This window comes from Homo sapiens, chromosome 2, assembly GCF_000001405.40.
Source record: "Homo sapiens chromosome 2, GRCh38.p14 Primary Assembly".
Classification (NCBI taxonomy): Eukaryota; Metazoa; Chordata; class Mammalia; order Primates; family Hominidae; genus Homo; species Homo sapiens.
In genome coordinates, this window is record NC_000002.12 from 184,178,954 (window position 1) to 184,193,150 (window position 14,197).

The 14,197-nt window shown below is 32.3% G+C and overlaps 2 long non-coding RNA genes across 4 annotated transcripts in view, besides 2 other annotated features; one reads left to right on the top strand and one right to left on the bottom strand.

The window, feature by feature from the left end:
* Positions 1-14,197, bottom strand: part of LOC105373777 (uncharacterized) — a 63,555-nt gene that overhangs the window by 38,226 nt on the left and 11,132 nt on the right. Inside the window, exons 1-2 of one of the 2 annotated variants that reach the window (XR_923653.2) lie at positions 8,520-8,560; positions 8,297-8,421 (exon numbers count right to left, since the gene is read on the bottom strand). This is a non-coding gene — a long non-coding RNA (uncharacterized LOC105373777). Of the gene's footprint in view, positions 1-8,296; positions 8,422-8,519; positions 8,561-14,197 lie in introns of those variants that run through there. The other variant, XR_923654.2, reaches the window with a different exon arrangement.
* Positions 8,238-8,738: an enhancer, noted in NCBI's record as "H3K27ac hESC enhancer chr2:185051918-185052418 (GRCh37/hg19 assembly coordinates)". NCBI's record gives its function as "activates a minimal SCP1, AML or CMV promoter by ChIP-STARR-seq in primed H9 embryonic stem cells {active_cell/tissue: H9 hESC(primed)}" and the evidence as "EXISTENCE:reporter gene assay evidence [ECO:0000049][PMID:30033119]".
* Positions 8,739-9,239: an enhancer, noted in NCBI's record as "H3K27ac hESC enhancer chr2:185052419-185052919 (GRCh37/hg19 assembly coordinates)". NCBI's record gives its function as "activates a minimal SCP1, AML or CMV promoter by ChIP-STARR-seq in primed H9 embryonic stem cells {active_cell/tissue: H9 hESC(primed)}" and the evidence as "EXISTENCE:reporter gene assay evidence [ECO:0000049][PMID:30033119]".
* The window catches only part of LOC102724340 (uncharacterized), a 246,221-nt gene continuing 243,340 nt past the window's right edge, over positions 11,317-14,197 (top strand). For both annotated transcript variants that reach the window (XR_001739819.1, XR_923652.2), the window contains exon 1: positions 11,317-11,445. This is a non-coding gene — a long non-coding RNA (uncharacterized LOC102724340). The remainder of the gene's footprint in view (positions 11,446-14,197) is intronic.

Consider the following 14,197-nt stretch of genomic DNA (forward strand, 5'->3'; position numbering starts at 1 on the left):
TAAGAGACAGAATATAATGCAAGAGAAGTGAGAATTAGTCTGCAGAAGCAAACGTATATTATAAAAACACAGTCACATTTTTCATATAAATAAAAGAATGAACATTCCTAGTTTATGAAAATCTTTCACTTTTTCCCCAGTAGTAGATAAGGAGTAATTATAGAACGCTTTCTGAGAACACTTTTACATACCAAGGAAATGGTCAACTATTCAAGTAGCAATTATAGAGCTATAGAAAAACCTATGTTTTATTTTTTAGTTGTGTAAAATTAGCTAAAATTTATACTTGTCTTTCACACACATTTCATTTTCATATCTATAAGAATGTAAAATATTTTGGTAAGTAAAAAATTATACAATATTAAAAAATAAACTCAAAACCTGAATTACTTTGTCCTTTCACTTGAGAAGAATAACAATCTTTCCCATCTCTTAAAAACCCAGCTTCTCTTTAGCGCAACCTTACGTACTAATATTTTTAAAAAATGAATAGAATTTTAAAGCAGTTTTAGATTTACAAAAAAAATTGTACAGAAAGTGCCATATCCTCCCCCACCCACAGTTTCACCTATAAACATACTGCATTAGCTCGGCATATTTGTTACAATTTATGGACCCATACATTATTTATTAACTAAAGTGTATCTTTTATATTAAGTTGCACTCTTTGTGTTATACAATTCTAAGGGTTTTACCAAATGCATAATATCATGTATCCACCATGGCATTATGATACAAAATTGTTTTGTTTCCCTGTCCTAAAAACCCCATGTGTTCCTCTTATTCATCCATTCCCACCTCTACTCCCGAACCCCTGGCAACCACTTATTTTTTACTCTCTCGATAGGTTTCCCTTTTCCAGAATGTCATATAATTGGAATCAAATACTATGAAGCTTTTACAGACTGAATTTTTTTTAACTTAGCAATACATTTTTAAGGTTCCTCCATGTCTTTTGTCTACCAAATAGCTCGTTTCCTTTTACAGCTAAATAATATTTTCTTTTATGTATGTGTACCATAGTATGTTTATCCATTGACCTATTGAAGGAAATCTTGGTTGCCTCCAGGTATTGCCAACTATGAATAAAGCTTCTATAAACATTCATGTGCAGGTTTTAGTGTGGGCATAAATTTTCAACTTGTTTGAGTAAATACCAAGGACCACAATTGTTGGATCATTACTGAATGTTTTAGCTCTTTGAGAATGACAATTTTTTGTTTGAGAAATTTCATTACTAACTAGACACAGATGCCAAATGCAATTTAATTTTAACATTATGTGTTTTGTTTAATTAGATAATTTTCAAATATCAAAAGCAATTTTGCTTTTCAAATTAATTTCTGTAAAATGTCTATTTTCAATCATAACTAAAGGATATGATCTAGCCTGAGATTCTATCTTCCAGTAAAAATACATGCTTTGTTTATTATGTTGTTTAAAACAATGAGAAATATTTAGAGATTCCAAATTCCTATAAAATTTATGACTTTATCAATATTTCATCACCTTTTATTAATAAAGTATATTTTAATGTATTTTCTTATATTCCACAATATTTTATAAGGTTGAAAGCTTTGATTGATAAATGTTAAGAAATATATTACAACCTCAGGTGCTGCTTTTACACTTGTATTCTGATATATTAAGCTATCTAAAATGAAAGACAACTGTTATATCCGGCTATCATAAAATTTCAGTAGCACATTTATGCTGAGCTCATTGTTGACTACAACATGGGAAACAATTTTGTGCTTCAGTGAATTAAAGAGTTTTATGAGAGTGTAGAAATTTTACAAACTTAGTTGTAATGGATTATTATCAGATACTTTAAATATATAACTCAAATTTGTTATACAAATTGTACACACACGTATAGTGCCATAAGAACTGTTTAAGCCATTTTGTTTACCTCATTGGCCTAATTGCACTTTATGGATTAAACATTATATAAACTCAAAGAGGAAAAAGCACTTTTAGGCAACTAAGTAAGTTAAATTAGAAAAGAATATAATAAGGTGAAATGTATTTATAAAAATATTAAATTCAGATCGTTGGAGTAAACAAAACTAATAATTATATATTTAGAGGATCTTTATATTTCTCTATTCTAAACACCCATGTTGAATTTTTCTCTCAATAGCTTTGCCAATTGATATGAGCATATAAGTTACACATTCATATCTGCCTATATCTGTTTGTTCATTGTCTGAATTATAATAGCTATGTAATATTAGCACTCAACTTTGTCCAATTTGGCAGAGATAGTATCTATAAGATATTAAAGCATTTGACAATAAGTTAAAACATTTATTAATCATATGGGTGCTTGATTATATTGTGCTTTACATCTGCTATTCAAAGTTGGCTCTAAAAATCTAATTACAAAGATAGGTTGGATCATTTAATAGAAAATATTACCTAACAAATTGAAAAGTACAACGTTAGAATATATAGCAAGAGTACCTAAATCAAAATTAAGATATCCTCTGAACAATGAAAATGGGACCTAATATTTGGTGAAAACTTACTATGTGAAAGACATCATTCTAAGTGTTTCACATGTTTAATTTTTTTATAATCACAGAAATTTCATCTGGTAGTTAATGCCATTTTCATCATTTGTAGAAGAAATGGAGGCTGAAGATCAAGTAACTTGCCAAAGATTACTAAGCTAGTCAACGGTGAAGCCATAAGGTAGCCCAAGAAGGACAATTATAAGAGCTTCCAACAACTCTCTAATACCGATACTCTGTACTCTATGTATATGAAAGTTCTAGCAGAGCAATTAGGCAAGAGAAAGAAATAAAATGCATACAAATTGGAAATTAAGAAGTTAAATTATCCCTGTTTGAAGAATACATGATCTTTTAAATAGAAAACTCTAAAGACTCCACCAATGAATAGTTAGAAGTAATAAGAAAATTCAGTAAATTTGAAGGATACAAAATCAACATACAAAAATCAATAGCATTTCTATATACTAACCGCAGCCTATCTGAAAAAGAAATCAAGAGAACAATCCCATTTACAATAGCTAAAGAAAAATAAAATACTTATAAATAAATTTAACCAAAGTGGTGGAAGATTTCTACAATGAAAACTATAAAATATAGGTAAAAAAAAATTAAGGGCATAATGAAATGAAAGATATTCTGTATTCATAAATTGGAAAAATTAATATTGTTAAAATGCCCATACTACTTAAGTGATCTAGGGATTTAGTATAATCTTTTCAAAATAGTGATAATAGTCCTCAAAGAAATAGAAAAAAAAATCCTAAAATTCACATTATCTGACTTCAAAATATACTACAAAGCAATAGTAATCAAAACAGCATGGAACTGACATAAAAACAGACAGCAGACCAATGGAACAGAAAAGAGAGACCAGAAATAAATCCACACACTTTCAGGCAACTGAATTCTGGAAAAAGTGCTAAGAACACACAATGGGGAAGACAGTCTCTTCAATAAATGGTGTTGGGAAAACTAAATAGTTACATGCAGAAGAATGACATTAGACCCTTTAATCTCACTATATATAAAAATCAACTAAAATGGATTAAAGACTTAAATGTAAGAGCCAAAAGTATGAGATTGCTAGAATAAAATGCAGGGGAAATGCTTTATCATATTGGTCTTCAGAAGTATTTTTTGGATATCATCTCAAAAGCATAAGTAGATAAGTGGGTTGATTTAAAATTTAAAAATTTCACACAGCAAAAGAAACAACAGTGAAGAGGCAACCTAAGGAATGGGAGAAAATATTTGCAAACTCTATAGCCAATAAAGGGATAATATTCAAATTACATGAGGAATTCACAACGCTAAAGAAACAGGTAAACAAATAAACTAATTTAAAAGTGGGCAAAGGATCTGAACATTCCTAAAAAAAAAAAAAAGAGACATACAAATGGCCAACCAGTATATTTTTTAAATGCTCAATATAATTAATCATCACAGAAATACAAATTAAAAGCACAATGAGATATCACCTCACTCCTGTTGGAATGGCTATAATCAAAAAGACAAAAGATAAGTGTTGATGAAGATGTGGAGAAAAGGGAACCCTTACACAGTTGGTGGAAATGTAAATTATTATAGCCATTATGGAAAACAGAATGAAGATTCCTCAAAAAATTAAAAATAAAACTACCATATAATCCAGCATTCCCAATGCTGGGTATATATCAAAGGGAAATAAAATCAGTATGTCAAAGATATATCAGCACTTTCATGTTTATTGCAGCATTATTCACAATAGCCAAAATATAGAATAAACCTAAGAATTCATCAAAAGATGAGTGGATTAAGAAAATATGTGGCGTACACAATGGAATCTATTTAACTATAAAAAATGAAGGAGTTTTTATCATTTGTGAAAACATAAATGGAACTGGAAGGCATTATTTTAAGTGAAATAAGCCAGACACAGAAAAACAAATACTATGTGATCTCACACCTATGTGGAATCTAAAAAAATTGATCTCATAGAAGTAGAAAATAGAATGGTGGTTACATGGGACTAGAGAAATTGGGGAGGAGGGGGAATAGGGGATAATGAGAAGTGATGGTTAATATGGAATGTCAACCTGATTGGATTGAAAGATGCAAAGTATTGTTCTTGAATGTGTCTGCCAGGGGGTTGCCAAAGGAGATTAACATTTGAGTCAGTGGACTGGGAGAGGCAGACCCACCCTCTATCTGAGTAGGCACCATCCAATCAACTGCCACCACAGCTAGGATAAAAGCAGGCAGAGGAACGTGGAAGGACTAGACTGGCTGAGTCTTCCAGTCTTAATCTTTCTTCCATGCCGTGTGCTTTCTGCCCTTGAACATCAGACTCCAAGTTCTTCAGCTTTTCGACTCTTGGACTTAACACCAGTGATTTGCCAGGGCCTCTTGGGCCTTCGGCCACAGTCTGAAGGCTGCACTCTCAGCTTCCCTACTTGTGAGGTTTTGGGACTTGGACTGGCTTCCTTGCTCCTCAGCTTCAGCTGGCCAATTGTGCGACTTCACCTTGTCATTTTGTGAGTCAATACTCCTTAATAAACTCCCTTTCATGTGTACATCTATCCTATTAGTTGTGTCCCTTAGAGAACCCAGACTAACACAGGAGCTATTGGCCAAGAAATACGTAATTACAGTTAGGAGGAATAAATTCAAACGATCTATTGTACAGCATGGTCACTATAGTTAATGACAATATATTATATTCTTGAAAAATTCGAAGAGTGAATGTGAAGTGTTCTCGCCACAGAAATAACTATATGAGGTAATGCATTTGTTCATTGGCTAAATTAAACCATTTCACGATGTATATATACTTCAAAACTTGTTGTATACAATAAATGTATATAATTTTATTTGTCAATTAGAAATAATTTTTAAAAAGCAAAGCTCAGAAGTTATGTAAATTTATTAAGGTGACATTGTGAGTTATCTGAAGGAGCGGAGCTTCAGATGCAGATCTCTGCTTAAAAACTTAGGCTCTTTAAAGGTAGGTGATATAGTTTCCCTTGAATATTCTTATTGATTAAAAATTGCTTTTTATAATAAAATTTCTTTTTATAATTCAAATTTCTTTTATAATAAAAACTTCTTTTATAATAAAAAGCAATTTTTAATCCATAAGAACATTCTGTTTTTAAATATAGTTTTATGCATTTAATTGATTCTATATTTTTGTTAGTCAGCCATGCCTTGTCTTCATGGACCTAAAAGTTTGTCTCTTCAGAAAGATATTTACTATCTCACTAGTAAAGACTGAAATGTCTTTGTCACATAAGCATTGGAATTCATTGTCCTTAATACAGAAATGTAATTCATCTTTTCCCACACCTCACATGCAGCTATTAAATAGGAAAACTCACTTCTAAAAGTTGCCTCTAGAGTTGTCTAGTTTGGTGGATTTCAGAAAATGTTACTCTTATAAATAATTTTACCTAGCTATGAGAGAAAATGCCATAGTAGAGTATTCCAATTGCATGTTTTTAATATTAATGTTAAATTTTCTAAAATAAAAAATATCTCTATTATATATTATTTTCAACAACTTTTGAATACTCAGTAAAATGACTTTGTTCTTTCATTTGGTGATGTGAGTTCACCTAGGGCCTTTTCTTGCCCAAACTATTACATACTCTTGTTCCATTGACAAACATTATATGTGTTGTCAAAGTTCAACCACTTACTTAGTGACATTTTCACTTTAAGCTATCTCTATTTTCAGTATCTAAGAGAGAATTTTAAGAAATATTTTTGAGTCTAATAGGTCAACAGTTTGTGAAAAGAACAAAAAAAGTACTTTGTGTAATTTACTTGAAAGCTTTGCAGGAAATGTCATGGTAAAGTTTAGACAATTGTTTGTTGACAAAATGTGATTTTTGACTTAGAGGATAAGGCTACTTCACTAACTATACATTCACAGTAAATGTCATTAATTCATCTTAAATAATTTAAGGATGGCTTGGAGTCATATTGATAAGGACAGTAGGGATAAATAATTCAATATTTATGTATAATGAGTGCATTAATCAGAAAGGGGCAGTGTAGTGACAGGAAGCAGTGTAATAGATTTTCATAGATAGAATTTTATATTAATATATATTTCAAGCAGTTTTAGTAAGAAACTACAAACATCTATCGTATTCCTCTTTTCTTTTCTTTCTTTTTTTTTTTTTTTTTTTTTTTTTTTTTTTTTTTTTTGGTTTTTGAGACGGAGTCTCACTCTGTCACCCAGGCTGGAGTGCGTGCGGTAGAGCGATCTCGGTTCACTGCAAGCTCCGCCTGCCAGGTTCACACCATTCTCCTGCCTCAGCCGCCCGAGTAGATGGGACTACAGGCGCCCACCACCACGCCCGGCTAATTTTTTGTATTTTTAGTAGAGACGGGGTTTCACCGCGTTAGCCAGGATGGTCTCGATCTCCTGACCTCGTGATCCACCCGCCTCGGCCTCCCAAAGTGCTGGAATTACAGGCGTGAGCCACTGTGCCCAGCCCCCTCTTTTACTTTTCTTCCCACATGAATATTAATACTTTTCTCATTGCAGCATCCCTTAGATTAACATTTCTAAAACTGAGTGAGTGTCTATTATGTATCTAAAGGGTAATGGAAATTGAGGTCATATCATTTCAAACAGATATTTGCTGAAAGCATTAGCTAAATGCAGGAAAAATAGATTCATTGACCTCATGGAATATTATTCTTTATTCCTTCTTAACCAACATGTAAGAGTGTAAAAAAAGAGCATGTGTATATGTGTAGAAGACAGCAGAGAGAAAATACTCAATTTCAATCGTCTCTCTCATAGGCTGAAGTGATTATTATCTTACAAATTATCCAATAATTTATTAAACATTTATTACAGGCAGACCTAATTACATAACTAAAATGCATAATTATAAATAAGATAAAATGAATAGCATGTTTTTAATAAAATTAATTTTTATCACTCAATAAATTATTCCTAGTAAACTGAAGAAGTTTCTTAAATTACGGAGACCTTTATAAAAATCTGTTATCATTCCTCCTGTGACATATGGTTATCTAAGATTCATTTAAAATGAGGTTTACTTTTAGTACCATTTTGAAATAATGCAAGTACTGTTGCATGGGAGCACCTGGTGAGAACTGATCACACGTCAGGGTCAAGATGGGATGGAGTAATAAAGTATCAATGACGCAGCAAAACTGAGGACCAAAGACTGAAACTTTGTTTTCAAAAGGCTGGAAATCTGATGAGCCACAGGGCAGGCTCCAAAGTTGAGTTACTCAAGTAGGTAGTATTTGACTACGCTGTTGAGCTCATCCTCTTGAATGGAGTATCCATAAATTGATTTAGCAGAGATCTTAAACTAATTATAAGGCAGTCTCCTGATAAGGATATTTCATAGCTTGACCCTCCAAAATAGTTACTTTACAACAATATTAAAGACCAAAATACATTGCTATTTTTTATCATATTAGGCTATTTAATAACTTTTTGTCTTTGAGTGGTCAGATTTTAATGGTAATTTCCATGTTATGGTTTGGAAATTCTCTTTATGTTTTCAGTTCCCTGAAAATTCCACGTTTTTAAAAGATTTTCAAAAACTCAAAAAAAAATTACTCGATAACTTTTTGCATTGTGCTTGAAGTATTTTAAAAACACACAAAATATTTTCCAGGGCAGCCTTAGGTTAAGGTAAATTAAGTTGGTAATATAAATTCTAACTAATAGATGCCCAAGAATTGAATAAACACTTTCAAACAAATTTGCCAGCACCTAAGAACAGAAACTTTATAGGACAAACCTTGAGGAATTTAGTTGCAGGTCTGCAGACACTTGTTAGGTTTTGGGTCCTGGCCTTTCATTCCATTTGGGCTCTTATATGACTCGGCAGTGAAGACAGAGGTCAACATACCAATGAGAGTAGAGCTGTAAAGAGTAAAGAGGGATTTTACTATAAGTCTTGAAACCAAGTAGACTTTCCTATGGTCAAAATTGATGTTGGGGCTACAGAAGCGGTCCCCAACCTTTTTGGCATCAAGGATCAGTTTCCTGGAAGACAATTTTTCCACATATGGGAGTGGGGGTGGGATGAAACTGTCCCAACTCAGATCATCAGGCGTTAGTTAGATTCTCATAAGGAGCACACACCTTAGATCTCTCGCATGCGCAGTTCAATCGCATGCGCAGTTCACAATAGGGTTCCAACTCCTATGGGAATCTGCTGCTGCCCAGTCTGCCGCCTCCTGCTCACCTGACAGGAAGCGGAGCTCAGCCAGTAATGCCCACTCTGCGCTCACCTCCTGCTGTGTGGCCCAGTTCCAAACAGGCCATGGACCAGTACTGGTCTGTTGCCCAGGGTTTGGGGACCACTGGGCTAGAGGATAAGTTTGGAGAGAGGTGAAACAACATGTCAGCACAGCTAAAGCCTTCTCACTAATCTGAAGCAGAACCTAGAAATTTACACTCACTAGGAAAATATCATCTTTGTAAAATGTATGTTCACCAAGTTTAGGGGATGCCTGCATTGTTATTAACAGTGACAATATATTGGCTAAAGTTCAGGTACAATATATTTTACTATCAAAGCTTCATCTTTCTTCATTGATTGAGTTTCTTTGATTCTCCCACCATAGTTTACATTTCATGGATTAAGATACATCTTGCCCACATCACGATATTATCCTACTCCAAATTTATGCATGGTGTCAAGGGGTTGTTCCCCTTAGTATTATATAAACCAGAAATCTTTAAACATATTAGTAAATCATGCATCTTGCATGTCTTTCTCTATATAACATACACATTTCTTCATTGTACTTTTTTGCATGTAGGAAGAGAGTCTCGAGATCTGCAGTAGCATATGGGTTTGAATCAACATGGATCTCCTGGAATATCAGATTTTTTCTGTTTTTCTCATGAGAATATAGAAAGTAATTATTATTAATAATTGTATATTAATGTATTAGTCTGTTTTCACGCTGCTGATAAAGACCTACCCAAGACTGGGTAATTTTTAAAGAAAAAGAGGTTTAATGGACTCACAGTTCCACATGGCTGGGGAGGCCTCACAATCATGGCAGAAGGCGAAAGGGATGTCTTACATGGCAGCAGACAAGAGAGAATGAGAACCAAGGGAAAGGGGAAACCTCTGATAAAACCATCATATCTGTGAGATTTATTCACTACCATGAGATGAGTATGGGGAAATCGCCCCCATGATTCAGTTATATCCCACCAGGTCCCCCCCAACAACACATGGGAAAGATAGGAGCTACAATTCAAGATGAGATTTGGATGGGGACACACCAAGCCATATCAATTAAGCACTTATAAAGTATGTAAGTAGGCATACAGAAAATAATGAAAAAAACAACAGCCCTTATTATGTTACCCATGGTGGTAATGGCTCTTATAGCTGTATTAGTAAACAATACATACATATACACATGACAGTTATTACACACATGTATAGATATGTGTACACATATATATACTGAATAGTCTATCATTCAGAATAATGTTTGGAGTAGAAAAAGAGGTTATATAAAATGACATATGTTGTTTTGAGGCATGAGCATAAATGTGAAAAGATCAAAATTTTGGAAATATTTATTAAGAAATTGCTGAATTTCTAATTTATACTACTAAATTTTAACCTTAAGTTTGTCTCATTAATTTTCAGTTTGCAATTAATATTGTACTTGTACTATTGTAGAGCGGTATTGTTATTGTCTATTATTATTTTCAGAAAATGCTTTTCAAACTTTATAATGCCCCTTATACTACAAATTACAATTTCAGCAACATCATTTCATTGAAGTACAAATTAATTAAAAGTACCTAAAGAGTTTTTATTAATACACTCACATGTACACTAAAAAGTGTAATAAAAGGTATTTTAATTATAGCAATACAGTTGAAAAAAGTCAATCACTTTATTTTTTTAATCACTTTATAACGGTAATAAAAAGGCATGATCAAAATGACAGAAAATTCAAGACAACTTTATAATATAAATGGCAACATTAATGGACCAAAGAAAATAGAGAATTTTCTGTTTTTCAATTGACATTTTAATATAGGCTACTTAAAACTTTTTTCCTGAGTGTATTATTTTTCAAAAGGAAAAGTCAAATTTTTATCAATATATCATAGTTTTCCAAGACACATCAGCACATAATCCAATTAACATAATCCAAGGCATATGTTGCATGATTTTAAATATTGCATTAACAAAGCTGAAAAAATATAGACAGATAAAAGTGGGTATCTCTCACAGAGGGATGATAATTTAAAACCATGTTCTTCTATTGATCTTCTCAAATACACATTTGATTCTAATTTTTCTTGTTTTATCTTGATAATCTAAGAACTCGTTTTGGGTGAAAAATATTCTAAGGATGTCATAGTCTTCACCGATTGCTAAAACTGCAGTGAATAGGCAAAGATATAATTTTGGACTTGATATTGCAAACAAGATTAAGCTTCCATGACTTTATAATGAATTTCTGTGTATTAATCTTGAACATTATTTTCTTGAAAATATTGCATAATTTTAGCACTATTGCTCAGAATTTCACACTGAATTCTCTCTCTCTCTCGCTTTCTCTTTTTTTTTTTTTTTTTTTTGTCAGAGCTTCTCGCTTGTTGCCCAGGCTGGAGTGCAATGGTGCGATCTCAGCTTACTAAATCTTCCGCCTGACATGTTCAAGCAATTCTCCTGCCTCAGCCTCCCAAGTAGCTGGAATTACAGGTGCCCACCACCATGTCCAGCTAATTTTTTTTTTTTTTTTTTTTTTGTATTTTTAGTAGAGACGGGTTTTCACCATGTTGGCCAGCCCGGTCTTGAACTCCGTCAGCCTCCCAAAGTGCTAGGATTAACAGGCGTGAGCCGGCACGCCCGGCCTCCCCGCTGAATCCTTTCTTCATTTTATCATAATCCTTCTAAATGTAAGTAAAAGTTTTTTATTTATATAATAAAATATTTGTGAAAACTCATTTTAAAATTATCAAAATGTCTCTGGTGCTTCTGATAATGCAGATGAATAATGGCAAATACATTTTGTAATCAAAATTAAATATTAAAATACTAAATATGACATTTCTTGAAAACGAGATGTTATATTGCAACAGAATTCTCTGAACTTGAAGAATGTATAAATTATTACTTTTGGAATTGTTTTCATTTGTAACTCATTTTTTTCCAGTTTTACAAGCTCTACTGCTTTTCGGCTATGAAAAATGAGGATATTAACATGTTTTGCTTTACTTTCATCTCCCTGTTGTTCTGCCAAATTTTGTTATTTATATTTTTAATTTTACATTTTAAATCTTCACAATTATGGTACACGTTAGTAACACTGATAAGTATTTCTAGTACTCTTTTCCAAACATATGGTACAATTGTAATTTCTATTCTGGCCTCAGTCAACTCGGGCTTCCATAACATAAGACCAAAGCTCCACTGAAGACTTTCCTCAGGCTGGTGGTCTGAGGAACTTCCACAGGCACTGTCCCCTGCCGACCTATATCTATGTATTAATGTGGTAGAAATGAATACTGTTTGTTGTGCTAAGCCACTGAGATATTTCAGCAAATATTACTATGGTATAAGTTAGCTCATCTGGATGTATGTACAAAACTGTACAATTTGATCTGTATCTGTAGCTTCCACATGTTTTAGTTCTACAATTTCATCTCCATCACCAATCTATCTCAATCACTTTATCTTGTATTATTTAACTTATTATCAAATAGCTTTCTTTTTAAAAGGTAGTATGCAATGTTGTGCATTTTTAGGCATATCTATACTCTTTATAAATGAAGGAAATACAGTGATTAGGTTTGTTTTATTTTTCTGAACTCTAAAATTTTTTTTACTCTTTTCACATTGAGCTCTGTTTTAGAGAAGACTGAGAATAGTGTGATATTTTTCTTCTTATATTTGATGTTCTTTTCCGCTGGAGAGAACATGAGTGTTTAAATTCTTTGTATTAAGACATATTTTACGCATATAGAAAAGTACACAATACATAAAGGATGATGTAATGAATAATTACAAAGCAAACTTCCAGCCTGAAAAATACAATATTGCCAGGTTTATAGCCTGCCCTTCAAGAGGCCTTATAAGATTATTTCTCTCTTCTCCTCCTGGAATGACAACAAATACTTTAACTTTTCTTATTACTTCTTGCTTTCTTTATATTTTGCCACTTCTGTATATACTTAAAAATATAAATTTATTTTTTATAATTTTCCAAAACTGGGGACTAAAGGAAATGACATGAAGTAGTGAGTTTATCAACTGTCAGTGAAAAGATTGAAAAATAAACGAAAACAACTAATGTTAGAAACTTTAGTTGGAAGAATCAGTTACTTGAGGAAAATCTCCATAAATGGTAAAATTTAGAGGGAACAATTAAAAATCACTTCATGGTTTTGTGTTAATAATATTGCAAGGTAACGGTGTCACTCAAACCTGCAATTTTTTTAAAAGAATTTTATTCACATTTATTGTAATTTACATTTACATATGCATTTAGAGACCAGGGCATAGATAGAAAGAGAGAGATTGGTGTATATAATAAAATATGGCAGCTACTTCCTTTGACGGGCAAATATGGAACCTTCCAATGTGTATATATTTCTTCTGGAAAACAAAGTTCTTTTGTTATAATTTAAATTGTTCATGCAAACACCACTGCTAAACACAAAAAGTTATATATTTTTTTCTTATTAGAAATGAAATATAAAACACTACCTTATTTTAATCTTAAGGAATATTTTGACATATAGTTGAGCTAAGAGTATGTTTAAACAAAACAAAAGAGCAACTATTTAATAGAGTTATTCCCTGAAAGGCTAGCACCGTGTGTTCATAAACAATCTGAAAATGTTTTTATTTTTTTTCTTGATGGCTTATTTGTTGTTGGCAGGGTTTTGGGGTTTTGTTTTGTCTTTGAAAGCCTAAAATTACTAAGAAAAAATGGATTTGGAATATACTAACAAAGATTTTCTGGCATATTGGTTTGTATTATCATTGTGACCAAGCACTTGATTAATAGTGTAGAATATATTAAATTCTTTGGGTATGTTTGGGAATTGAAATTGTAATCCCAGAAATGGTGATACACACTTTTGAGAGATGCCTAATATTTTCTCTGTAATTAAAATTTTGATTCTAAGTTTACATGTCACATAGATTCCTTATGGATCAACTCTTCCTGAAAGACATTTTTATTGTGATGTTAACAAATTACATGCATTTTTATTGGTTTAACGCTCAAAAGAAGCATTCAACAAATTGCAAAAATTTTCCTCCACTTACTAAGTGCCTTGAAAATGTTCTTTGGTCTCTGACCTTTACAAGAGCACAAATTTGAAGCCTTAAATAGTGAATGTCAGAGTACTTTCCTGGAGGCGTAAGGAGCTCACTTATAGCTATTACACAACTCACATACCTTTATATAGTTTCTGCTCTAGGAAATAAAAGGTTAAACACATCTTTCACAATGCAAAAGCCAAACAGTGACAAATGAAAGGTCATGTTTTTTAACCTCTTTTTCTTATCTATAATGTTCAAAAAATACTACTATGAATAAAACATTTTAAATAGAATTGAATAAATTGAATAAATAAATTGAATAAAATTATATTCAAAGGATTGTAACTTTCATGACATCTTATGTCCTAGTAGCATGCA